This window comes from Homo sapiens, chromosome 7, assembly GCF_000001405.40.
Source record: "Homo sapiens chromosome 7, GRCh38.p14 Primary Assembly".
NCBI classification, from domain to species: domain Eukaryota; kingdom Metazoa; phylum Chordata; class Mammalia; order Primates; family Hominidae; genus Homo; species Homo sapiens.
Window position 1 is genome coordinate 73,018,128 of NC_000007.14, and position 26,604 is coordinate 73,044,731.

General features: G+C 46.0%; 1 protein-coding gene and 1 pseudogene across 1 annotated transcript; one reads left to right on the top strand and one right to left on the bottom strand.

Annotated features, from left to right (window-relative positions):
- Positions 1 to 1,591: 1,591 nt before the first annotated feature.
- SPDYE8 (speedy/RINGO cell cycle regulator family member E8) lies at positions 1,592 to 11,639 on the bottom strand. The gene is made up of 8 exons (NM_001382525.2): positions 11,518 to 11,639; positions 9,710 to 10,292; positions 8,508 to 8,726; positions 7,416 to 7,474; positions 6,103 to 6,188; positions 4,154 to 4,397; positions 3,927 to 4,031; positions 1,592 to 3,073 (listed from the first exon to the last, which is right to left on the bottom strand). Exons 2-7 carry the CDS (start codon positions 9,837 to 9,839, stop codon positions 3,972 to 3,974), a joined length of 798 nt encoding a protein of 265 aa, NP_001369454.1. The 5' UTR covers positions 9,840 to 10,292; positions 11,518 to 11,639; the 3' UTR covers positions 1,592 to 3,073; positions 3,927 to 3,971.
- PMS2P8 (PMS1 homolog 2, mismatch repair system component pseudogene 8) lies at positions 19,246 to 22,677 on the top strand (annotated as a pseudogene).

Here is a 26,604-nt window from a genome sequence, read left to right on the forward strand (position 1 = left end):
AAGCATGGTGGCCACTGCACTCCAGCCTGGGTGACAGAGCAAGACTCTGTCTCAAATAAAGAAAGAGAAAGTATCATGCTTTTCAGAGTTCTGTGGGTTGTTATGGTGAATTATCAAACCTGAGGACGTGGTGGGAACCTCCAAATTTGCAGCCAGTTGGTGAGAAGTACATGCGGTCTGTGGACACCCAAGCTTGCAGCTGCATCTGAAGCGAGGGCAGCCTAGCGGGGGCTGGTGGCCTTAACCTGTGGCATTTGATGTAACATCAGGGAGTTGACATCAGAATTACGTCACACAGGCCAGGTGCAGTGGCTCATGCTTATAATCCCAGCAATTAGAAAGGCAAGATAAGAAGATTGCTTGAGCTTGAGTCTGAGCCCACAGTGAGCTATGACCGCACCACTGCACCCCAGTCTGGGTGACAGCACAAGACCCCGACTCCAAAAATAAAAAAGAAAAATCACAAAGAATTGCATGGCAGAGTGCCTGTCTTTCACAGCTTGAACTGTTGCAGGAACTTTCTTTTTTTTTTTTTCTTTTGTGATGGAGTCTCGCGCTTTCACCCAGGCTGGAGTGCAGTGGCGCGATCTCTGCTCACTGCAGGCTCCGCCTCCTGGGTTCACACCATTCTCCTGCCTCAGCCTCCGGAGTAGCTGGGACTACAGGCGCCTGCCACCGCGCCCAGCTAATTTTTTGTATTTTTAGCAGAGATGGGGTTTCACCGTATTAGCCAGGATGGTCTTGATCTCCTGACCTCATGATCCACCCACCTCAGCCTCCCAAAGTGCTGGGATTACAGTCCTGAGCCACCGCGCCTGGACTTTTTTTTTTTTTTTTGAGAGGGGTTGGGGAGACATATTCTCTGCTAGTGATTCTCCTGCCTGGTCTCGAACTCCTGCTGGGATCACAGGCGTGAGCCACCACGCCCAGCCACCTTTAGAGTTTTCTTACCACCTGGTTTTCCTCTCTCAATATCTTTCTCTCATTTCCTGCTTTAAAACTCTAGCTTGGGGTCTGGGCACAGTAGCTCATGCCTATAATCCCAGCACTTTGGGAGACTGAGGCGGGTGGATCACTTGAGGTCAGGAGTTTGAGACCAGCCTGGCCAACATGGTGAAACCTTGTCTCTACTATTTTTACAAAAGTTAGTCAGACGTACAGGCGGATGCCTGTAGTCCCAGCTACTTGGGAGGCTGAGGCAGGAGAATTTGCTTGAACGCGGAGGTGAAAGTTGCAGGGAGCCGAGGTTGTGCCACTGCACTCCAGCCTGGGAGACAGAGCGAGACTGTCTCCAAAACAAACAAACAAACAAACAAACAAAAAAACCCTGTAGCTTGGGATCAGCCTTCTCTTCTGTTGTTTTTCTTTAAAAAATAAAAATTAAAAATAGGCTTCAAGTGATCCTCCCGCCATGACCTCCAAAACTGCTGGGATTGTAGGTGTGAGCACTGCACCCAGCCGTATGTTTTTTTCTACATAAAAAACAGCACAGGATTATCTTCCAAAGCTAATAAATATGTTCAAATAACCACAACCCCATTAAGGAAAAATGTCACTTGACAGCAAATAATCAATCCAGACCACAATATGATCACACTCACTGTGAAGGTGAGAAAAGTTCATCTTTATTATGTTTCCCCAAGAGATGCACTGCACTGTTCTCTTGAAAACACACAGCTCATGTCCTCCTTTAGAACACACATCCTCTTTAAAGTAACATACAAACATGCCAAAACAAGATAAAAAATTCCATCTGAATTCTCACATTTCAAACATACACTAAATATCAAATAAAAATTTATTTTTACAAGAATTTAGGGGAACTACCACATAGCTATAAATGTAATATATATGTTAACTAAGTATCATAGATAAAAACCATGCTCCCTTCAGCAGCACGTGTAATAATAGATACAAAGATTGAAAGGTAAAAGATTTAGGATGAAAAGAATCCTCTCTTAAAAAGGAAAACAAAATTATATGTATGTGTATACAACAGTTATAATACCCATCACACAGCTTTATAGAAACAGCATCTATTCAAAAATACCAGTATTTCCAAAATATTTAAAATAATATTTAAAGTAATAATAATATTTAAATAAATAAATATATTTAATAAATATTTCAGTAAATAAAATAATATTTAAATAATTCTATACCCATGTTTTTCAAAATAAACCAATAAAATAGATAGTATATATTAGACGTGTTAGTATATATATCTGAGACATGTTAAAAATCACAACTGAATTCTCACAAGTCAGTCACAAACCTAAACAGCAAATAAAAATTTCTATCACCAGAATTATGTTTTTTTCTGGTGGGGAACTACCAATAGCTATAAATAGAAGAGATTATTATGGAAGTATCATAGATAAAAAGAGTGCTCGCTTCAGGAGCACATATAATAATACAGAAAAAAAATTAAAGATAATAAAAGATTTAGGATAAAAAGAATTCTCACTTAAAAATGAAAAGAAAATTATCTTTAGGTATATATAACAACTATAACTCTCATCAAAAAACTCTACAGGAACAGCATGTTTTCAAAAGTACAACAATTTCCAAACTATTTGAAATAAACCTATTAATAATTCAATGGCCAACATTTTCCAAACAAACCAATAAAATGCATAGTGTGCATGAAGCTATCTGTTACAGTCTGTGGCACTCATATTTCACAAAGAATTCTGTGCCAATCTGAGCCCCTGCACTGTGCCTTCAAATGCTCCTGGACTGTGACAACCAAGTCCATAAGAAACAGGACCTCCAGGTTCCGCCCCAGGGAGGTTGGCATTCAGCAATATAAAAAGGGAGGTGGTGCCGCAGGAAAGGGTGGAACTGGAAACACTCCTGGTTTCTTACTTTTCTCCAAGGACTCCTAGAAGTACCCCACCCCACCCCTGCTCCTTGGAGGACAACGTGATCACTGTATTCAGCTCTGTCAAGAATGGTCCAGGTTCTTCTAGATGATCTGCACAAATGGTTCCTCTCCTCCTTCCTGATGTCTGCCATTAGCATTGGAATAAAGTTCCTGCTGAAAATCCACATCTCCCCTGGGTCCGGTGTTCTGGAAGTGAGAGAGACAATGTCACACTTCAAGGAGGCAGCTCTCTAGACAGGAAGGTTATTCACGTCCCATGTCAAGTCTAGCTAGAGTTCAGAGCAATTGAGAAGTGCAATTTTATCTCCTGCCTTTCATTCTATACCCTGCTTCTGAACCATCGTGTTCAACTGTGAAACTCACACTTTGGTGACCCTGACTCCAAAACTTAATACACCCAAGGTCAGCCCCAGTGATCTGCTTCATAGCCAGGACTTTGGGTGGGTCTTCCCAGGGAGTAGGGCACCCTCAGAGAATGTGGCTTTGGACTTCATCACAGCTGGGGCCTTTTGTGTCACTTCAGATCTAAACTTGTAACCGTGCTAGATCTGTTTCTAACGTGACAACATCACGAACCACGAGTCCAGAAGCCTAATCCATAATCCTCCCTCCTCATGACGAAGTCTCATGCTCTGTGCTCAACATGGTTAGCTGCACAAGATGTAAACCAAAGCTTCACTGAACCCTCGACCCAAATCGGTAACTCAAGTGCATCAATCATAATGAACCTCCCCGAACTCAGTATTTATGATTATTTTTGAGGCAGGGTCTCACTCTGTCGCCCGGGCTGGAGTGCAGTGGCAGGATCAGGGCTCCCTGCAGCCCCGACCTCCCAGGCTCCAGCGATCCTCCCGCCTCAGCCTCCTGAGTAGTTGGGAGTAGAGATGCCTCCCACATCGCCTGGCTAATTTTTGTATTTTTGTGGAGAGGGGATCTCGCCACGTTGCCCAGGCTTGAAGCCAGATCAAGCAATTGGGTTCCTTGGATTTCCGAAATAGACCCCAATATTCTGCCTTTACCCCGGAGGATGCAGATGTACCTTCTCTCAGGCCGATGACCTCAGGCCTCCACGGTCCCTGGAGCTCTAGGAAAGGTGGGCGCGATCTCGCGCCCACACCCAGTGCTCTGGGTCATAAGCCTGGATCTGGAAAAACAAACGCGCTTTGAGAAGACGGGGACTCCCCAGGATACCCCTCTCTCCCCTCGTCCAGCCTCCAGCCCACCCGATTCCTCCCCACATCCTCCACGTCCCCAGGCCCCACCCACCTCTTCCAACTCCTCCAGGGAAACCCAAGCCCTGCAGCGCATGGAACAAAAGAAGTGGAACCGATACTTCCGGAACAAGGCTATCTGAGAGCAGTTCTTCCTGGCCCTCGGGTTCATGTAACGGCATAACTGGAACCAAAGCTCACTGAGCAAGGGTATATGAGAGCGGGTCTCCTCGTACAGGAAGTAGAAGATGTTTTGTTTGGGGGCCTCGTCGTCCTCCTCCATGTCATTGGCCAGATAGCTGAGGACAGAAATCAGGTTGCTGCTCAGGGGCACCACCAGGAGAGACCTCCGGCTGAGGTCAGCTTCTCAGAGAGGAAGGTAAGGGACCGTCCCTAGCTCAGGACTGGCACCCACCCTGCAGAGAGCCACGCCTTCCTCAGGAGGGCTCTGCTGGACAGAGACCTGATCAAGGGCGTCTCCCACTCCTTCAGGATGGAGACAAAAACCCAACTGGTGACCAAGAGTGGTGGCTTATGCCTGGAATCCCAGCACACTGGGAGGCCGAAGCAGGAGGATCACTTGAGGCCAGGAGTTTGAGACAGGCCTGGGCAACATAGCAAGACCCTCGTCTCTATTAAAAATATAAAAAATACGCCAGACGTGGTGGCTCATGCCTGTAATCCCAGCGCTTTGGAAGGCTGAAGCAGGTGGATTGCTTGAGACCAGGAGTTTGAGACCAGCCTGGTCAACACAGAGAAACCCCATCTATACTAAAAATACAAAAATCAGCCTGGTGCGGTGGCACACCCATTAGTCCTAGCTACTCAGGAGGCTGAAGCATAAGAATTGTGTGAACCCAGGAGGCGGAGGTTGCAGTGAGCCAAGATTGGGCCCCTCCATTCCAGCCTGAGAGACACAGCAACACTCTTGTCTTGATAAATAAATAAATAAATAAATAACTGTCCAGGTGTGGTGGTACAGCCCTGTAGTCGGAGCTAATCAAGAGGCTGAGGTGGGAGGATCGCTTGAGCCCAGGATATGGAGGCTGCGGTGAGCTATGATCTCACCACTGCACTCCAGCTTAGGGGACAGGGCAAGTCTGTCTCAAAAAAAAAAAAAAAGCAATTGAATACACTGATATTTTGCCAGGACCCTGCCTTCTACAGGCATCTAGTCTAATGGGACTGGGAGTAATCAGGGGAGATGACCTAATCCCAATGTCACATTATAATAGGATGTAACTGGAGAGCTACGGGCATGCAGAAGTTGGAAGACGAGGGAAGGCATCACAGAGGCTGTGGGGTGAACCGACTTCAAGGAATGGGTCCTTCCCTTCAGAACCACATGTGTGCGGGACACCCAGACAGAAAACACAAATGCAAAGTCAAGTGGAGGGCATTTGGAAGGAGCAGTGAAGCCAAGCCAGGAAACACCAAGATGGCGAGCCAGTGTGGTTGTAGAGATTGTAGAGAGGGTGGAATTGGCACTGTGGACCCTGGCCTCGATAGAGAAAGACATCAGCTAAGGAAGTTGTTCAGGTGGGCAGTGAGGTTGTCGTGCTTTGGAAAGATGTTCAGGCTGCACTAGGAAGCCCCCTGGCTTGGGGAGAGACTCCAGGAAACCCCAGCAGGGAGCATTTGACAGTGGATTCGAGTGATGCAAGGGGGACCTGGACTGTGACCTCTGTCACGGGAACCCGGAGGAGGCTGATGGCTTTTGCGGTTGATGTGGGAAGGAGAGAGAACAACCGGAAACGTCTGCTTGCTGGGGGAAGTGTCATGTCCGCTCCTCCGCTCCTTTTCTTCTCCCCTTAGGAGCGGTTCATGGTTCCTTTTGTTTTTTGTTCTTTTTTTTTTTTTTTTTTGAGACTATAATCCTGTCTTTTTTGTACACAGAGTAAAGAGGACAAATAGGTGAAAGAATAAATGAAAGGCTGGAATCCCACTTCCCCCGCTGTCCCAGGGCATTGGATATTGATGGATAGGAGGCAGCAAACCACTCACAGAGCCAGGAAGAAATGAATGCGTTGGTATTGCCAGGAGGGGAGGCCGGCCCGGCTGAAATACGCTATGACCATAGCCAGGAGATACTGATGGAGAGAAAGGAACACAGAGAGGGAGAGGTCACATCTTGGGAGAGGAAGATTGTGGATATAGTGGAATGGGGGTCTGGGGAGGGGTTGCCCATCAGAGAAGGGACCTCAGTGTTGGGGTGACTGTGCTCATGTGGAAATTGCGGGGTGGAGGGGTATTCGAAGGTCGGATGCAAATCCGAGAAGCCGGAGGAAGGGTTTTTGGTGATGCTCCCAGGATGGTGGGCTCCGATGGGATCTTTGGAGGGGGTGTGTCTAGGTCGGCTGGTGTCAGGAGGGTCTTTTGTGTGCCAGGCAGAGAACTGTCCCAAGGAGCTGAGAGTAGAGGGCCCAGGAGCTTCAGGGCTGCAGCCAGACTGTGGCCCAGGGCTCAGATCCCAAAGGACCCATAGGAGAGGCAGGGGCCACTCATTCACTCTGCAAGAGACCAGCAGAATCCTGACGGAGATGCTGACAAATCATAAAAAGACAAAGAATAGCCGGGAGTGGCAGCTCAAGCCTGTGATCCCAGTACTTTTTGAGAGGTGGAGACAGGAGGATCATGTGAGCCCAACAGTTGGAGAACAACCTGGGCAACACAGCGAGACCCTGTTTCTAAGAAGATTTCAAAAATTAGTTGAGCATGGTAGCATGTGCCTAGTCCCAGCTCCTCAGGAGGCTAAGGAAAGAGGATTGCTTGAGCCCAGGAATTAGAGTGAGCTATGATCATGCCACTGTACTCCATCCTGGGGAGCAGAGCTGGACTCTGTCTCAGAAAAAAAAATGTGTGGGTGCCAAGACTCAAGACCATGGGAGCTGGTCAGACACAGTGCTGACGTCTGTAATCTCAGCACTTTGGGAGGCCAAGGCGGGTGGATCACCTGAGGTCAGGTGTTCGGGACCAATCTGGCCAACATGGCAAAACCCCGTCTCTACTAAAAACACAAAAATTAGCCAGGCGTGGTGGTTCATGTTTGTAATCCCAGCTGCTTGGAGGCTGAGGTGGGAGAATCGCTTGAACCCAGGAGGCATCAGCTGCAGTGAGTCAAGATCGAGACACTGCCCTCCAGCCTGGGCAGCAGAGCAAGACTGTGTCTCACAAAAAAAAACAAAAACAAAAACAAAAAAAAACTGTAGGAGCATCTGGTGGGAGGTGGTGGACGGAGAACTGTGGGTTTGGAAGCTGCGCCCTCCCCCTGGCCGTGCGTTAGAACAGGAACACAGTTACATAGAGAACAACCTTACCTTGTCCGACACCCTCAGATCTTTGTCCCAGGCCAGGAGTCTTTTAATGACAGGATCCTCTGTGATTAGAGAGCAGATGTCAGTGTGAGAAGCAGGACAGGGTTTCCGTGAGAGCAGCAGGGCAGCGAGGAGAAGTGTGCCTCCCGGGGGAAAGTCTCAGGATTGTGGCCGCGGGTGAGGTGGATGAGAGAGGGGAGAATGACTTTCACTGGGCAAGGGAGAGAGGCTCCTGCTCTGAGACTCCCCTGAGAAGAGGCCGAAGGAGGCCCTGGGTGTGAGAATCTACAGGATGTAGAGCTGGGAATCAGCCAGGACCCCCTCCAGCAGACACGGAGGGACCACTGCAGAGTCATAAAGGAATTCCCATCATTTCCTCATGAGACAGTCACACATCAGGGTGTGACCATGGCCTTGGGATCCCCCACTATGGATGGAGACACTTAGGTTTAGCAAAGTCAGTAAGAAACATTAAGTTTCAGAGGGCACAGCTGAAACCACTTTTTTGATTTTTGATTTTGTTTTTCTTTATTTGATTTTTATTTTTATTTATTTATTAATTTATTTTGAGACAGAGTCTTGCTCTGTGGGCCAGGCTGGAATGCATTGGCCTGATCTTGGCTCACTGCAACCTCTGCCTCCTGGGTTTAAGCAGTTCTCCTGTCTCAGCCTCCCGAGTAGCTGGAACTACAGGGATGAGCTACTGTGCCCAGCCTTGGTTTTTCTTTTGACGCAGAGTTTTGCTCTGTCACCCAGGCTGGAGTGCAGTGGTGCAGTCATAGCTCACTGCAGCCTCAAAGTCCTGAGTTCAAGCAATCCTCTTGCCTCAGCCTCCCAACGTGCTGGGATCTCAGGCGGGAGCCACAGCGCCTGGCCCAAAACCAAGCTTTCTTATCCCAAGCACCGACCTTTATCAAGTCTACCTAATCCTCTGTTGTCTCCTTAAGTGTCCCTCATGAGTGATCACTTCAGAGTCCTCCCGCATGGAGAGCTCACCCACTGGGGCATATTTTTCCCATTGGAAAAGTGTGGTTATTGGAAGTTTCCTCTTTAGAAAGAACAGGATTGGAGGTGCTCTCTGGGGTGTCCTCCTACCAAGCAGCCTGTTGAAGGCCTCGTAGTACTCAGGGAGCACGAGCGACACTCGCCGTCGCTTCGCCTTCATCTTGAGGCCACACAGCGTCTCCGCCACCCAGGTCTCCTCAGGCTCAGGGGCGAGCTCCTTCTCTGGCTCATCATCAGATTCATCCAAACATTCCCTCTTCCTTTTCCAGCCAAGGGACCTACGTGGGGGGCTGGGATCTACCCCAGGGGCTGAGTAAAGAAACCAGGCCACCGTGTAATGCTTCTGCAACTGATCACGTTAGACCCCGACCCCAAACCCCAAACCACTCTCCATCCTCCCCAGCCTCGCAGACTGCTGGCTTCTCCAAGCCACCTTTCTGACTTTCTCCTCTGCTCAACCCCATGTGCCACTCCTTCCCCTCCCCATTCTTCCCTCTCTCTGTCCTCAGAACACTGCCTCATATCCTTCCCTGGTCCCTGGCTCTCTGAGTCCCTCTTTTTTTTTTTTTTTTTTTGTTTCGAGACAGAATCTTGCTTTGTCACCCAGGCTGGAGTGTAGTGGTGCAATCTCAGCTCACTGCAACATGCATCTCCCGGATTCCAGTTATTCTCCTGCCTCAGCCTCTCAGGTAGCTGGGATTACAGGTGCCTGCCATAATGCCCAGCTCCATTTTGTACTTTTAATAGAGACAGGGTTTCACCATGTTGGCCAGGCTGGTCTCAAACCCCTGGCCTCAAGTGATCCGCCTGCCTTGGCTTCCCAAAGTGCTGGGATTACAAGTGTGAGCCACTGCACCCAGCCTGAATTTCTCCATTCTTCCCACACACCCTCCCCAGGTTCTCCTTCCTGACCTCTGACCCTTCTTTTTTTTTTTTTTTTTTTTTTTTTTTTTGAGATAGCATCTCACTCTGTCACCCAGACTGGAGTGCAGTAGCACGATCTCGGCTCACTGCAACCTCTTCCTCCCAGGCTCAAGTGATTCTCCTGTCTTAGCCTCCCAAGTAGCTGGGATTGTAGGCACACACCACTACCGCCTGGCTAATTTTTGTACTTTTAGTAGAGATGGGGTTTCACCATGTTGGCCAGGCTGGTCTTGAACTCCTGACCTCAGGTGATCTGCCCGCCTCAGCCTCCCAAAGTGTTGGGGTTACAGGGGTGAGCCACCACGCCTGGCCCCCTTCCTTCATCTTAGTCAATCCTATGCCACCTCTTCTTCCTCCAGTCCCCTCACCTGATGGTCCCGACACTTCATCATCCACCACCTCCTGGAGGGGGTACCCTGAGGTGCTCCGCTGGGGGCTCCGCTCTTCCTGGGGCTGCGGTTGATGGCTCATCATGATCTTTCCCAAAATCTGTCCCATCTCACCAAACCTAGTCTCTGTTCTGTCCTTGGTCTTCTTCTGGACACTGCTGGGATCCAGAAGAGTGTGTTATCAATTCTCGAGGCTGGGAGAAGTCAGGAGTGGAGAACAGCTCTGAGAAGTTACTGTTGTCCAACTGAACTCCCAGGTGCCGACAGAGTCCGGTCCCTCCAATCAGGAAGGTCGGAATCTCTGATGTCATCGCTCATGCCAACCTGGCAACCAGTTTGAAAAAAAACACATGTAACTGCCAGGCTGATCTCTTGTCCTGGAGATCCTGGGTGAATGGTATCTCCTGCCACTGTCCCAACCTCAGACCACTGTCCAAAAGCATCTTCAGGGTCTCCGCATCCCTCTGTTCCCTGTCCCAGCAGAGGCTGTGTCCTCTCCACTCAAAGCTTGAAGCGTGTTGGGGTCTCCTCTTCTCTGTACATGCCCGTTTCAGAGTCCAGTCTGGTGGGAGAGGGATCAGGATGGGAAAGAAAAGTAGGGTAAGCAGAAACGATGAAACCTTACAAGAGTGAGATTATCATGTACAAGAGATCCCAGGAACATTGACTTGATGAAAAAGTCACATCAGAGCACTCAATTTGGCAGAGGTTTTCTGCCGAGTGTCTACTGACATTCACTGTCCGAGATTCTGTACTGGGGGTACACGCGTCCTCTGCCCTAAGGCATCTTTGAGTCCAAGAGATATTTTGAGGACTGGAAATCATAGGAAACTGCCCATGAGTTCACACATATTTCCAATGGTGTCCCCAATTTCAGGGAGTCCACGGATCACCTAAAGCCAGCCCCTCCAGTTTGGCTAAGAAACTCTATATATCAAGTTTTGTATCATATGTATTGCTCTTAACTCAGAAAATTCCACCATTTATAGCAGTGGTTTATTTATTTATACCATTGAAGGAAATGGTTTATTTATGAATCTATATTATGGATATTCTATAAGATACTGGGTGTACAAAAAGACTAAGTCGAAAAATCTCAGCTGTGCACAGTGGCTCATGCTTGTAATCCCATCTCTTTGGGTGGCCAAGGGAGGAAGACTGCCTGAGGCCAGCAGTTCAAGACCAGTATAGGCAACATAGCAAGAGCCCATCTCTAAAACAAAACAAAACAAAACAAAACAAAATTAGCCAGGTGTCGTGGCTGGCACCTGTGTTCCAACAACTTGAGAGACTGAGGTGGCAGGAGGATTGCTTGAGCCTAGGAGTTAGGGGCTGCAGTGAGCTGTGATCGTGACACCGCACTCCAGTCTGGGCAACACAGCAAGACCTTGTGTCAAAAAAATTTTTTTAATTAAATATAAAAGAGTTTCATGACATTCAGAGACCATCCAAAGAACCTGTGGGTTCCGGCCAGGCACAGTGGCTCACGCCTGTAATCCCAGCGCTTTGGGAGGCCATAGCAGGTGGATCGCTTGAGGTCAGGAGTTTAAGAGCAGCCTGGCCAACATGGTGAAACCCCATCTCTTCTAAAAATACAAAAAATTAGTCAGGCATGGTGGTGGGTGCCTGTAATCCCAGCCACTCAGGAGGCGGGGACAGCAGAATGGCTTAAACTTGGGAGGCGGAGGTTGCAGTGAGCCAAGGTCACACCATTGCACTCCAGCCTGGGCAACAAGAGCAAAACTACATCTCAAAAAAAAAAAAAAAACAAAAAAAACAAAAAGAACCTGTGGATGAGTTCCCACATGGCTTCCTAACGGGCTGCGGCTCTCCTAGGAGTCTCTCGCTCATGGGAAAGGCACAAACTGAATGCGGAAGGAAATCCCATTGCTGTGGAAGTCCCATTGTTAGGAAGCTCTGCTTTTCTGGAGTTCAAATTTGCATTCATGACGCTTTAAACCGTCAGAGCTGGGTGTGTCCTCCTACAACAAATCACTTTACTCTCTCTCCTAGTTAACAGGCTTTCAAATATTAGAACATCCATGTTCTGACCTCATTAAAATTGCTCTTTTGTGGAATGAAAAGCTCTGATTTAACCCGTCTTTAAGCCTGGTATGCATATTCCTCTCTGTTCCGGCCACCTTGTCTAGACACACTACACTGAGGCAGTGCCCATCTTAGATGATGTTGATACATTGTCAAAAAATGGGCAAACCAGGTGCGGCGGCTCACACTTGTAATCCCAGCACTTTTGGAAGCTGATGCCGACAGATAACCAGAGGTGAGGAGGTTGAGATCAGCCTGGCCAACATGGTGAAACCTGTCTGTTTTTCTGTAAAAATACAGAAACAATGAGCTGGGCGTGGGAGTGCACTTCTGTAATCCCAGCTACTTGTGGGGCTGAGGCAGGAGAATCACTTGAACCGGGAAGGTGGAGGTTCCAGTGAGCCGAGATCACGACACTACACTCCAGCCTGGGCGACAGAGTGAGACTCCGACTCAAAAAAAAAAAAAAAAAAAGTGCCAGACAGCCCAGGTTTGGTCTGATATGTTCAGAAAAAAGCAAAACAGTCACCTCTCACCTTTTCTTTTCCTGCAATGATGCCGTTTAATACAACAATGGCTGTAGGTCTGCGGCAGAAATATCATTCAAGTGAAACAGAAGGGCTTTCCTGGCTGGACACAGTGGTCACTCCTGCAATCCCAACACTTTGGTTGGCTAAGGTGGGAGGATTTCTTGCGGCCAGGAGTTCGAGGCTGCAGTGAGCTGTGATCCACCACTGCATTCCAGGCTGGGCATCAGAGTGAGGCCTGTCTCTAAAAAAACCCTTCACTCCCCAAAAAAAGGGATTTTCAAATACCAGCCTTTCAGCATGAGGATCACATGGAGGAACATTAAGACACAGATGCTGGGACCCAGCCCTATTGATTGTAATTAAAAAACTGAGGTGAGGCCTGATTTAGCTCCATCATTGGAATCCATTCAGATTTGAAATTCTCTGAGTTGGACAGTGCAAGAGAGATCCTAAAGAAAGCAAAGTCACTGTGGACTGAAATGAGCTGGCAAGGTTTTCTGAGCGTGGTGAAATATGATCTGGGCCTCGCTTGGGAGGGCTGTGGCCAGGCCTTGAGTCCGTGGCTCAGTGGGACCTTCTGAAACAGCCTCCAATCCGTGCCCCCACTTCATTTGCTAGTGGATGACCCCCTCCAGCGGCTTTGGTGCTGATGGGAATAAGTCAACCTGCAGCGGAAGTTCAGCCCAAGTTTCAGCCCAGCAGCTTCTACACACCTGTCCGTGGTCTGGTCATGCTGCCATCTCTGCGATTCTCTGCGGTTCTCTGCGGAGTCGTGGTTTCTGTACCTTGAAGAGAACTTCCCCTCTGGGACCCAGAAACCCAGTGAATCCTCAGGAAAAAAGGGAATGAAATTACTGAAGACAACTCTGTGGCGGGGAGATGGAAAAGAGGCTCTCTCTCTTTTTTTTTCCTAATATTTTGAGACAGAGTTTCGCTCTTGTCACCCAGGCTGCAGTGCAGTGGCTCCATCTCGGCTCACTGCAACCTCTGCCTCCCAGGTTCAAGCGATTCTCCTGCCTCAGCCTCCCGAGTAGCTGAGATTACAGGCACCCACCACCACTCCCGGCTAATTTTTGTATTTTAGGGTTTCGTCATGTTTGCCAGGCTGGTCTTGAACACCTGACTTCAAATGATCCACCCGCCTCTGCCTCTCAAAGTGCTGGGAATACAGGCATAAGACACTGCACCCGGCCTGTTTTTGTTTTTTAGAGACAAGGTCTCTGTTGCCTTGGCTGGGGTGCAGTGGTACAATCAGCTCTCTGTTGCCTCGGCTGGGGTGCAGTGGTACAATCAGCTCTCTGTTGCCTCCTGGGCTCAAGCAATCCTCTTCTCTCAGCCTCCCAAGTAGCTGAGACTACAGGTGCATGCCTGTAGTAGATATAGCATCTTGCTCTGTTGCCCAGACTGGTCTTGAACTCTTGGTCACAAGCGATCCTCTTGCCTTGGCCTCTCAAAGTGCTGGAATTACACGCGTGAGCCATTGAGCCCAACCAGATAAGATGATCTTTAAGGGCCCTTCCCATGGCACCATAATCCAAGTCAGCGAGACTGTGGCTATAGCAAGTTTAACATAACCAGATACGCTAGTATTATGGGCTGCATGGTGTGCCCCCCACCCCTAATTCATGTATTGAAGCCATGACCCTCCAGACCTTAGAGGTGACCTTATTGGAACCAGAGTCTTTACAGAGGTGATCAAGTTAAAATGAGGTCACTAGAGGCCAGGCACTGTGGCTCACACCTGTAATCCCAGCACTTCGGGAGGCCGAGGCAGGCAGATAATGAGCCCAAGAGACCGAGACCATGATGTCCAACATGGTGAAACCCTGTCTCTACTAAAAATACAAAAATTAGCCAGGCGTGGTGGTGTGGGCCTGTAGTCCCAGCTACTCAGGAGGCTGAGGCAAGAGAATCGCTTGAACCCGGAAGGCAGAGATTGCAGTCAGCCAAGATCATGCCACTACACTCCAGCCTGGGTGACAGAGTGAGACTCTATCTCAAAAAAATAAAAATTAAAAAACTAAAAACCTACAGTACCGCCTTTTACATAATGCAATGGTTTGGTAAGCACATGCACCCCAGGGAGGTAGTGGCAGATTCAGTCAACCTTCCCAGCAGCGTGGAGACGCAGTCAGGCATAGCAGGTGTTGATGTGGTTTGAACCCACAGCTTGGCTCAAATCCACACTCCCCTACTTAGTACCGAGTGAAGCCACTTACCCTCTAAGTGCCTTACTTTTCTTTTCTTTTCTTTTTTCTTTTTTCGAGACAGAGTCTCGCTCTGTCACCCAGGCTGGAGTGCAGTGGCATGATCTTGGCTCACTGCAAACTTCGCCTTCCAGGTTCAAGCAATTCTCCTGCCTCAGCCTCCCAAGTAGCTGGGATTACAGGCGCCCACCACCATGCCGGGCTAATATTTGTATTTTTGATAGAGATGGGGTTTCACCATATTGCCCAGGCTGGTCTCGAACTCCTGACCTCAAGTGATCTGTCTGCCTCGGCCTCCCAAAGTACTAGGATTAGAGGCATGAGCCACCACACCTGGCCACTTTTCTTATCTATATTTGTTATGTGGATGACTTGTGTTAACGCAAATAAGATGCTGCTCGTCATCTTTAAAGAAAATAGGTGGCAACCTGTTATAGCAAGTCCTGTTTTTATTTGTACTTATGAGGCTTTAATTAAACGCTAAGAATTAAAATGCACATAATAATAGACTTTACCTCACAAACTGGCTTCAAATATTCGATGAGACTTACATGTATTACTTAAATGAGGTTAAATTTAACCTTTTAAAAATGATTTATTGTGGCTGGGCACAGTGGCTCACACCTGTAATCCCAGCACTTTGGGAGGCCAAGGCAGACGGATCACTTGAGGCCAGGAGTTGAAGACCAGCCTGACCAACACGGCAAAACCCCATCTCCGCTAAAAATACAAAAATTAGCCAGGCATGGTGGTGCACACCTGTAATCCTAGCTACTCAGGAGGCTGAGACACAAGAATCGCTTGAACCCGGGAGGCAGAGGTTGCAAGGAGGTGAGATCACACCACTGCACTCCAGCCTGGGCAATAGAGTGAGGCTCTGCCTTAAAACAAAGAAAAATGATTTTGGGGGATGATGGGGTGTCACTGTGTTGACCAGGCTTGTCTCAAACTCCTTGCCTCAAGCAATCCACCCACCTCAGCCTCCCAAGTAGCTGGAACTACAGGCGCATGCCACCACGCCTGGCTAATGTGTGTGTGTGTGTGTGTGTGTGTGTGTGTGTAGAAACAAGGTCTTACTGTGTTGTTTAAGCTGCTCTCAAACTCCTGGGCTCAAGTGATCCTCCCACCTCGGCCTCCCAAAGCATTGGAATTACAGGTGTGAGCCACCTCACTGAGCCCTCCACCTTTCAGCTGAACGCAGAAAAGTACAATCTTTTAACCCAAAGCGTTCCTCACACTTAGGGTCAGGAAGAGCCCTTCATGCCCTGGAGGCAACTACTAACCCTCTGCTAAACACTCTGACTCTGGGTGTGAGAAACACACCTACTGTGCCCCACATATTTTTCCAAATACAACTTAATTTAGCCTTCACGACAACCCTGGAGTGAAGGATCATTAACTTTATTTCATAGATGTGGAAACTGAGACTCAGAGGCAGGAAATGACCTCCTTCTGGAGGCTGCAAATTCTTTGATGCTCCTTTGATCAACAGGTGGGAGCTGGCCAGAGGTGGTGGCTCACACCTATAATCCCAGCACTTTGGGAGGCCAAGGTGGGAGGATTGACTGAGGCCAGGAGTTTGAAACTAGCCTGGGCAACATAGCAAGACCTCATCTCTACAAAAAATACACAAATTAGCAGGGTGTGGTGGTGCACACCTGTAGTCGCAGCCACTCGGGAGGCTGAAGTGGTAGCATTGCTTGAGCCCAGGAGGTTGAGGCTGGAGTGAGCCATGATCAAGCCACTGCACTCCAGCCGAGGAGATGGAGATAGACCCTGTCTCAAACAACAACAAAAAAATAGGTGAGGATCAGCCAGGCATGGTGGCTCACGCCTGTAATCCTAGAACTTTGGGAGGCCAAGGTGGGAGGATTGCTTGAGGCCAGGACTTCAAGACCAGCCTGGGCAGCCTAGCAAGATCCCATCCCTTAAAAAAAAGTTTTTAGGCTGGGCATGGTCACTCATGCCTGTAATCCTAGCACTTTGGGAGGCCAAGGCAGGCGGGTTGCCTGAGCTGAGGAGTTTGAGACCAGCCTGGGCAACATGGTGAAATCCTGTCTCTACTAAAATACAAAAAATTAGCCAGGTGTGGTGTTGGGCACCTGTAATCCCAGGTACTCAGGAGGCTGAGGCAGGAGAATTGCTTGAACCCAGGAGGCAGAGGTTGCAGTGAGCCGAGAGCGCACCACTCCACTCCAGCCTGGACAACAGAGCGAGACTCCGTCTCAACAAAAAAATGTTTTTAATTAGCCAGCTGTGATGATGCATGCCCATGTCCCAGCTACTTGGGAGGCTGAAGCAGGAGGATTGCTTGAGCCTGGGAGGTCAAGGCTGCAGTGAGCTATGATTGCGCCCCTGCACTCCAGCCTGGACAGCGGAGGGAGACCCTGTCTGAAAATAAAAAAAGAGGTGGGGGCCTATGACCCCCCCTTTAATTTTGGCCCAACCTTAGTAACAGGATAGTCATTGAGTAGGGCAAAAGTGATGTTATGATGTTTTTCAGCCTCCAATTTACAGTCTAAAACATGTCTTGGGTAAACACAGCAAGACTCCATCTCAAAAAAAAAAAAGAAAAAAAATCAGAAGTGAACCTGTAGCCTGTAGTGTGTTGCCAAATAAACTTATTTTTAGAGATACTTCTTTCCATTTTCTGTGAGGTCATCTGCAGTTTCACATGGTAGACAGACTTAGGTGAGATTCTTAGCAACATAGAATGAAGAGTAAAGAGGTTTGTTTATTTCACAAGGGTTTATTGAAGGCCTACGATGTGTTAAATGCTGTAGGAAATACCCACTGATTTCTCTTTTCATGGAGGTTTCCCGCCTTCTCTTAACGAGTGATCAATTAAACTGTTTACTGGGAACTTGCTAAGTTAATGAACACACGGGATACATTCTTTGGATGAGCAGACATTGGTTGGGCAGAGGGGCAAGAGGAGAGCAGTTTAGACAGAGACCTGCTTATACACTGTAGTGTCTAAGAGAGCTTGTGATGTTCAGGAAACAGTTGTTCACTGTGCTGCAATATAGGGGACGGCCAGTTGCGGTGGCTCACACCTGTAATCCTAGTGCTTTGGAAGGCCAAGGCGGGCAGATCACCTGAGGTCAGGAGTTAGAAACCAGCCTGGCCAACATGGTGAAACCCCATCTCTACTAAAAACACAAAAATTAGCTGAGTGTAATGGTGGATGCCTATAATCCCAGCAACTTGGGAGGCTGAGACAGGAGAATCACTTGAACTTGGGAGGTGGAGGTTGCAGTGAGCCGAGATCATGCCATTGCACTCTAGCCCAGGTGACAGGGTGAGACTCTGTCTCAAATAATAATAATAATAATAATAATAATAATAATAATAATAATAATAATAATAATGTAGGGGACTTGATGAAGGGAAAGGATCAGAGAGATTCTGAAAAGAAGGTAGTTTGGGGCCCAGTGATGACTAGATTTTAAGTTTCATATAGTAGGAAGTGGGGCACTAGTAATTTTTCAAGCAGAAAAATTATTTGACCAGATTCGTGATTTCAAAAATAGCTCTGGTGATAGAGTGGAGGATGGGTTGGAGCAGGGAATAAGGGGAAATGAAACCGTTATAAAACTCTTAAAGTGGGCTGGGCATGGTGGCTCACGCCTGTAATCCCAGCACTTTGGGAGGCTGAGGCGGGCGGATCACAAAGTCAGGAGATCGAGACCATCCTGGCTAAAACGGTGGAACCCTGTCTCTACTAAAAATACAAAAAATTAGCTGGGCATGGTGGTGGGCGCCTGTAGTCCCAGCCACTCAGGAGGCTGAGGCAGGAGAATGGTGTGAACCCGGGAGGCAGAGCTTGCAGTGAGCTAAGATCGTGCCACTGCACTCCAGCCTGGGCGACAGGGCGACAGAGCAAGAATCCGTCTCAAAAAAAAAAAAAAAAAAAAAAAAAAAACCTCTTAAAACAAGTACAGCAAGAACTTTGAGGGTCTTTGCTAAGACAGCAGCTGGCAGCTTCAATTTGGAGTAGGGTATCAAAGGCAACTGTGTATAAGGAATAGTTATATAACTGGTATCCAATTTCTGAGATGATTTTGACTTAAACATTGTGTATTTCCCAGCATACTGTTGGTTTTTCTAATTATGTGGGAAATTATGTTGCTTTTACTTTTTTTTTTGCTCATTGCCCAGCCTAGGGTGCAATGCTGCAATCTCAGCTCACTGCAACCTCCGCCTCCCAGGTTTAAGTGATTCTTCTGCCTCAGCCTCCCAAGTAGCTGGGATTACAGGCGCCCACCACCATGCCTGGCTAATTTTTTGTATTTTTGGTAGAGACAGGGTTTCACGACGTTGGCCAGGCTGGTCTCAAACTCCTGATCTCAAGTGATCCACCTGCCTCTGTGTCCCAAATTGCTGGGATTACAGGCATGAGCCACCGCACCGGCCATGCTTTCAGTTTTCAAGAAAGAAGACACCATTATTGCCAAAGATTTTGGTAATTTGAGAGATACAATGTATGTTTTCTCCATGTGGATACTAGATAGTAAGGATGTGTTGAATTTGAAGTGTCTATCCAGAAGTATTTTGGGTACTTGTTTAAGGATTGTAAAACAATGTTTCCATTTCTGGATATAATAAATGTATTTGTTAATATAATAAATGAATAGATTAGACCCATAAACTATTTGCAGTGTTGAGTCATTTCCCACAGTTAAAATCAGGATGAAAATATATAGCTGAATACCTGCTTTGTTTCTTGTAACTGATTTCTTTAGTACAGAACCTGCTAAGGCCATCAAACCTATTGATCGGAAGTCAGTCCATCAGATTTGCTCTGGGCCGGTGGTACTGAGTCTAAGCACTGCGGTGAAGAAGATAGTAGGAAACAGTCTGGATGCTGGTGCCACTAATATTGGTAAGTTTGGGAGAGTTTTAAGCCACAAGAAATGATCAGTGAATGTTGTTGTAGTCAAGAAACATTTGTTATTGAAATAAGACTATCAAGTGTTGATGTAGTAATAAACTATTATTTTTAAGTTAAAGTTAGCACCTATTATGTGCCTAGTACTTAGCTAGGTAGTAATAATAATAACGACAGCTTTTCTTGTGTTCTTATGGTGTGCCAGGCAGGTGTTATGCTAAGAATTGCACAGAAATATCTCATTTAATTTGCAGAATAGCTGGGCGTGGTGTCTGACGCCTGTAATCCTAGCCCTTTGAGAGGCTGAGGTGGGGGGATTGCTTGAAGCCAAGAGTTCAAGACCAACCTGGCCAACATGGGGAGACCTCGTCTCTATTAAAAAATAAAGCAGGCCGGGTGTGGTGGCTCACGCCTGTAATCCCAGCACTTTGGGAGGCCAAGGCGGGTGGATACCTGAGGTCAGGAATTCGAGACCAGCCTGTCCAAAATGGTGAAACTCTGTCTCTACTAAAAATACAAAAATTAGCCAGACCTGGTGGCAGAAGCCTGTAATCCCAGCTACTGGGGAGGCTCAGGAATGAGAATTGTTTAAATTTGGGAGGTGGAGGTTGCAGTGAACCGAGATTGTGCCACTGCACGCCAGCCTGGGGACAGAGCAAGACTCTGTCTCAAAAAAATAAAATAAAATAAAATAAAATAAATCCTGGAGTAGTGGCTCACATCTGTAATCCCAGCACTTTGGGAGGCTGAGGGGGGCTGATGCTTTGAGGTCAGGAGTTCAAGACCAGCCTAACCAACGTGGTAAAACCCTGTCTCTACTAAAAATACAAAAATTAGCCAGATGTGATGGTGCATGGCTGTAATCTCAGCTCCTCAGAAGGCTGAGGGAGGAGAATTGCTTAAACCTGGGAGGTGGAGGTTGCAGTGAGCCAAGATCGATTGTGCCACTGCATTCCAGCCTGGGTGACAAGAGCAAAAGTCCATCTCAAAAAATTAAAAAAAAAAAAAAAAAAGGAAAGAAAAAAAAGAAAATGACAAAATTAAAAAAAAATTATTAATCTGCCAAATAACTTTATGAGATAGAACTTATTACCTCCATTTTACAGTTGAGGAAATTAAGGGACAGTAAATTTCCTTTTTTTGAGATTATAAAGCTAATAAAATAGAATCTAGGAAGTCTGATTCCAGAACCAGTTCTGTTTTTTTTTCTTTTTTTTTTTTTTGAGATAGAGTTTTGCTCTTGTTGCCGAGGCTGCGGTGCAATGGCACGATCTCAACTCACTGCAACCTCCACCTCCCAGGTTCAAGCGATTCTCCTGCCTCAGCCTCACAAGTAGCTGGGATTACAGGCATGCACCACCACGCCTGGCTAATTTTGTATTTTTAGTAGAGATAGAGTTTCTCTACGTTGGTCAGGCTGGTCTCGAACTACTGACCTCAGGTGATCCGCTCGCTTTGGTCTCCCAAAGTGCTGGGATTACAGGCATGAACCACTGCGCCCGGCCCCCGTTCTCCTTACTGGGTATGTTAAAATTATTTCTTTCAAAGGAAAAGGCTGGTCAAAGTGCAACGGTCTTTACAACTAATTGATCACAACCAGTTACAGATTTTTTTGTTCCTTCTCCACTCCAACTGCTTCACTTGACTAGTGTAAGGAAAAAAAAAAAAAAAAGAGGAAAGAAAGAAAATGCTAAACTATTTAATCTGGGCTAGTAAATGGCCAGAAAGAACTTTATAAAAATGAAATATACAAAATGACACTAGTATGTTTAACTAAAGGTATAGTTACGACACTTAAATTTGCACGTTATAAATAATATCAATATAAAAACTGATAGCGTGGGTCCATTTTTAATAAATATATAAATATTTTAAACTTTCTAGATCTAAAGCTTAAGGACTATGGAATGGATCTCATTGAAGTTTCAGGCAATGGATGTGGGGTAGAAGAAGAAAACTTCGAAGGCTTAAGTAAGTTAACTTTCTAATCCTATTACAAAATAATTGGGCCACATGTCTTAGAATTTTGAGTAACACTGTCTTGGGAAACACAAAAACAGTTTTTTAAAGCCAGTTACTAGATATCATGTATATTTGTTGTTATAGCACTTGAGATATCTTAGTCCTTACTTTACAGTCTCTTTCAGCTCTGAAACATCACACATCTAAGATTCGAGAGTTTGCCGACCTAACTCGGGTTGAAACTTTTGGCTTTCGGGGGAAAGCTCTGAGCTCACTTTGTGCACTGAGGTGAGAAAATATTTTTATCCATTCACTTGACCCCTTAGAAAAACCTCTCTGAAAATTAATTGGAATCATTATTATTTACAATTTTCTATCTCAATATCTCAGCTTCTAGCTTCTGAATTCTGTTTTGTCTCACTGCCAATCTAAGTCCTAGTACTTCTGAAATGTGAGCAATAAATGAATGAAATGAAGCAAATAGTATTGTTTAAAAAATTGGTTACCCTTATTAAAACAGTAACTTCTCAATTTGAACATAACATATAGATAATAAATGATAGTTACCATTGGTTTTCATTATCAATTTTTAGGGAAACATTTCACCAAAGCACTATTTAATTACAGCACAGATACTAAATTTTTATAAATAATTACATGCACACACACATATATATACATATATATACATATATATACATATATATACATGTATATACATATATATACATATATACATATATATACATATATACATATATACATATATATATATACACATATATATATACATATATATACATATATACATATATACATATATATATACATATATATACATATATACATATATACATATATATATACATATATACATATATACATATATATACACATATATACATATATACATATATATACATATATATACATATATATATACATATATATACATATATATATACATATATATATACGTATATATATATACATATATATACATATATATATATATATATATATATATATTTTTTTTTTTTTTTAGACAGAGTCGCACTCTGTCACCCAGGCTGGAGTGCAGTGGCACAGTCTCAGCTCACTGCAGTCTCTGCCTCCCAGGTTCAAGTGACTTTCGTGACTCAGCCTCCTGAAGAGCTGGGACTATAGCGTGCACCACCACTCCTGGCTAATTTTTGTATTTTTAGTAGAGATGGGGTTTTGCCATGTTGCCCAGGCTGGTCTGGAACTCCAGGCCTCAAGTGATCTGCCCTCCTTGGCCTCCCAAAGTGCTGGAATTACAGGCACGAGCCACCGCACCCTGCCCTACATATACATTTTAATTATAATATCTTTTGGATTCTTTAAAAAAAATTTTAAAAATTTTAAAAAATTCTTTAAAAAAATTCTTTTAAAAAATTTTGTTTGAAGAGTAATAACAAAACAAATCTCTATTTGAGAATCAATAAATCTTGAGATCATTTATGGTTTTGCAATTCAACCTGAAAAATGAAGTCAAAGCTTTTATCAAAACAAAGCATGTTTAGTGCTCTCTGTCTCACTGTCTTTTAGATGCCAGACCTTAGATTTTGTGATGACTCCTCAACCGTTTAGATCTCGGTTATCTCAGAGGGATCATCAGCTTTTTAAGAAAATTTTGAGAGAAAAGCAAGTGAAGAAAAGAGTAGTCAGTGCCCAACATCATGGATCTCTCACTGAACACACCATGCCTGGTATTCTCTCACAGTGATGTCACCATTTCTACCTGCCACGTATCGGCGAAGGTTGGGACTCGACTGGTGTTTGATCACGATGGGAAAATCATCCAGAAAACCCCCTACCCCCACCCCAGAGGGACCACAGTCAGCGTGAAGCAGTTATTTTCTACGCTACCTGTGCGCCATAAGGAATTTCAAAGGAATATTAAGAAGGTACAGTAAATTAATCCTGGTTTTCAAGAGTATTGGTTAATGCACGTGAGCAAAAGATTTACTAAAGATGTTTATTCTTCAGTTGATTCTCTTCCCATAATTTATTGAGAAATGCTTTATTTGCATTTCTCATTAAAGACTTAACTTCAGGATGATTTACTTTTTTCTTTTTATCACATAATGTTTATTAGGACTGGGAAACATAGTGAGACTCTGTCTCTATGAAAAATTAAAAAAAAAATTGACTGGGCATGGTGGCATGCACCTGTAGTTCCAGCTACTTGGGAGGCTGAAGTGGGAGGATCACCTGAGCCCAGGAACTTGAGACTGCAGTGAGCTATGATTGCGTCACTACACTTCAGACTGTGAGACAGAGTAAGACCCTGTCTGGAAAAATATATATACATATATATACATTTTTTTTATTTTTTATTTTTATCTTTTTTTGAGATGGAGTCTCACTTTGGCGCCCTGGCTGCAGTGCAGTGGCGCGATCTCAGTTCACTGCAACCTCCACCTGCCAAGTTCAAGCGATTCTCCTGCTTCAGCCTTCTGAGTAGCTACCATTACAGGCGCGCGCCACCACGCCCGGCTAATTTTTGTATTTTCAGTGGAGACGGGGTTCCACCATGTTGTCCAGGCTGGCCAGGCTGGTCTTGAATTCCTGCCCTCAGGTGATCCGCCCACCTCGGCCTCTCAAAGTGCTGGGATTACAGGCGTGAGCCACCATGCCTGACCTTATGTACTTATATTTTTATGAGAATATTTCTCTTGGTTTTCTGATAAATGAGTTACTGGAACCCTTATGAATTTGAATGCAAATGAAACAGCTAAATGTTATATAATTGTTGTGTTTAAAAAGCAGATTATAAAACTGTCTGTATTATATGATTACAGTTTTATAAAAACAAAACAGGCCTAAATGTGTATAGTATAAAGACTGAAGAGTCAGCACTTCCATGTTCTCAGCGGTTATCCTTGGATGTGAGATCTCATGCACTTTTTGCTCTCTTCTTTGTGCCTTTCCATTTTGCATGCGTATTTCTTATAATCTAAAAAGTTACTTAAACATATGCAGCTAAAAACTTTTTTTACTTGTAAAGCGTTTGGTGCTAATTTTAACTTTTTTTTTTAGACGGAGTCTTCTCACTCTGTCGCCCAGGCTGGAGTGCAGTGGTGTGATCTTGGCTCACTGCAACCTCCGCCTCCTGGGTTCAAGTGATTCTCCTACCTCAGCCTCCCAAGTAGCTGGGATTATAGGTGTGTGTCACCACACCCAGCTAATTTTTGTATTTTTAGTAGAGATGGGGTTTCACCATGTTGGCCAGGCTGGTCTTGCACCCCTGACCTCAAGTGATCTGCCCACCTCAGCCTCCCAAAGTGCTGGGATTACAGGCGTGAGCCACCACGCCTGGCTTTTTTTTTTAAAGCTTTTTTGTAAGTCAGCCAGCAAGAACACAGGAGGAAGTACTCAAATCTCCCTTACACAGCTGGGGGCTGTGTCAGGTTTTATAAGCATAGGGTAATGAGGTGTGATTTGATTGGATCTTGCAATAAAGTAATGCTGGGAGGTGTGATCTGACTGGATCCTGCCATGGGGTGACACCAAAACTCAATCTGATTGGATCCTGGCTCCTGCCTGGGGGTGTCTGGTTCTTAAATCGGTCCGAGCTCTTCAGGCTGAGCTCTTAGGTTCCACTCCACGGTGGCACGCGTGGTTAACCTGGGCATGCACAGGGTACATGACCTTCAACCTGCAGGTCGATGGCAATTGGAAAACAACTGACAACTTCATTACATAAAAGTTGAACTGATTCGGGTGCGGTGACTCACGCCTGTAATCCCAGCACTTTGGGAGGCCAAGGCAGGTGGATCACCTGAGGTCGAGGAGTTCAAGACCAGCCTGGCCAAAATGGTGAAACCCCGTCTCTACTAAAAATATAAATATTAGCCAGGCGTGGTGGCGCACCCTTGTAATCCCAGCTACCCCAGAGGCTGAGGCAGCAGAATGCTTGAACCTAGGACGTGGAGGTTGCAGTGAGCTGAGATCGTGCCATTGCACTCCAGCCTGGGTGACAAGAGTGAAACTCCATCAAAAAAAAAAAAAGTTGAACTAGATTTGGTCTGATGCAGTTACAGATTTACAAACCGCGTCCCACCCTCCTGCCAACACCTTCCACTCCTCATTCTTGAGGGATTAGGGATGGAGGTCATGCTTCTGTATCGACTTCATGCTGACCAGGGGCACTTAGTCCCCTAAAGTGAGAGGAATGAAACTCTTGGGCTTCTGAGTTCAGATGAGTTCTGGGGTCACCCGGAGTAGCTTGAAAGGCTGGTATTGTTGTAATACAAGCTGAAGGTGGAAGTGTTGGATCCTGGAGGACAAACAGCTCACCATCCATTTAAATAAATAGGACCAAAAAGTAACAGAACAGTGGCCACGAGGGGCCCCAACAGAGGAAGAAACCAGGTGAGGTGTGGTATAGTGGACTCGACTGCCTTCTAAATCTCAGTGGTTGTCCGGGTGCGGTGGCTCACGCCTGTAATTCCAGCAAAAGAAGAGCCGAGGCAGGGTGATCACGAGGTCAGGAGTTCAAGACCAGCCGGGCAAACATGGTGAAACCCCGTCTCTACTGAAAATACAAAAATTAGCCAGGTGTGGTGGCGTGTGCTGTAGTCCCAGCTACTAGGGAGGCTGAGGCAGGAGAATTGCTTGAACCTGGGAGGCGGAGGTTGCAGTGAGCCGAGATTGTGCCACTGCACTCCAGCCTAGGTAACAGAGCAGGACCCCATCTCAGTCAATCAATCAATCTCAGTGGTTGAACTACCCTTGATATGGTTCAGCTCTGTATCCCCAACCAAATCTCATGTCCAATTGCAATTCCCAGTGTTGAGGGAGGGACCTGGTGGGAGATGATTGGCTCATGGCGGCTGACGTCCCCCTTGCTGGTCTCGTGATAGTGAGTGAGCGCTCATGGGATCTGGTTGTTTAGAAGCATGCAGCACCTCCTGCTTCACTCTCTCTGTCTCTCCTGCTCCACCATGGCCAGAAACGTGCCTGCTTCCCCTTCGCCTTCTGCCGTGATTGTCAGTTTCTTGAGGGCTCCCCAGCCATGCTTCCTGTACAGCCTGCAAAACTGTGAGTCAATTAAACCTCTTTTCTTCATAAATTCCCCAGTTTCCAGTAGTTCTTTATAGCAGTGTGAAAACAGACTAATGGACCCTTCTGGTTGAAGGAATGTAGCCATTCTGCTTGTTTAAGTATTTCCTTTCTATTCATCTCTATTTCCCGGGAGGTGTTTATCCAAGT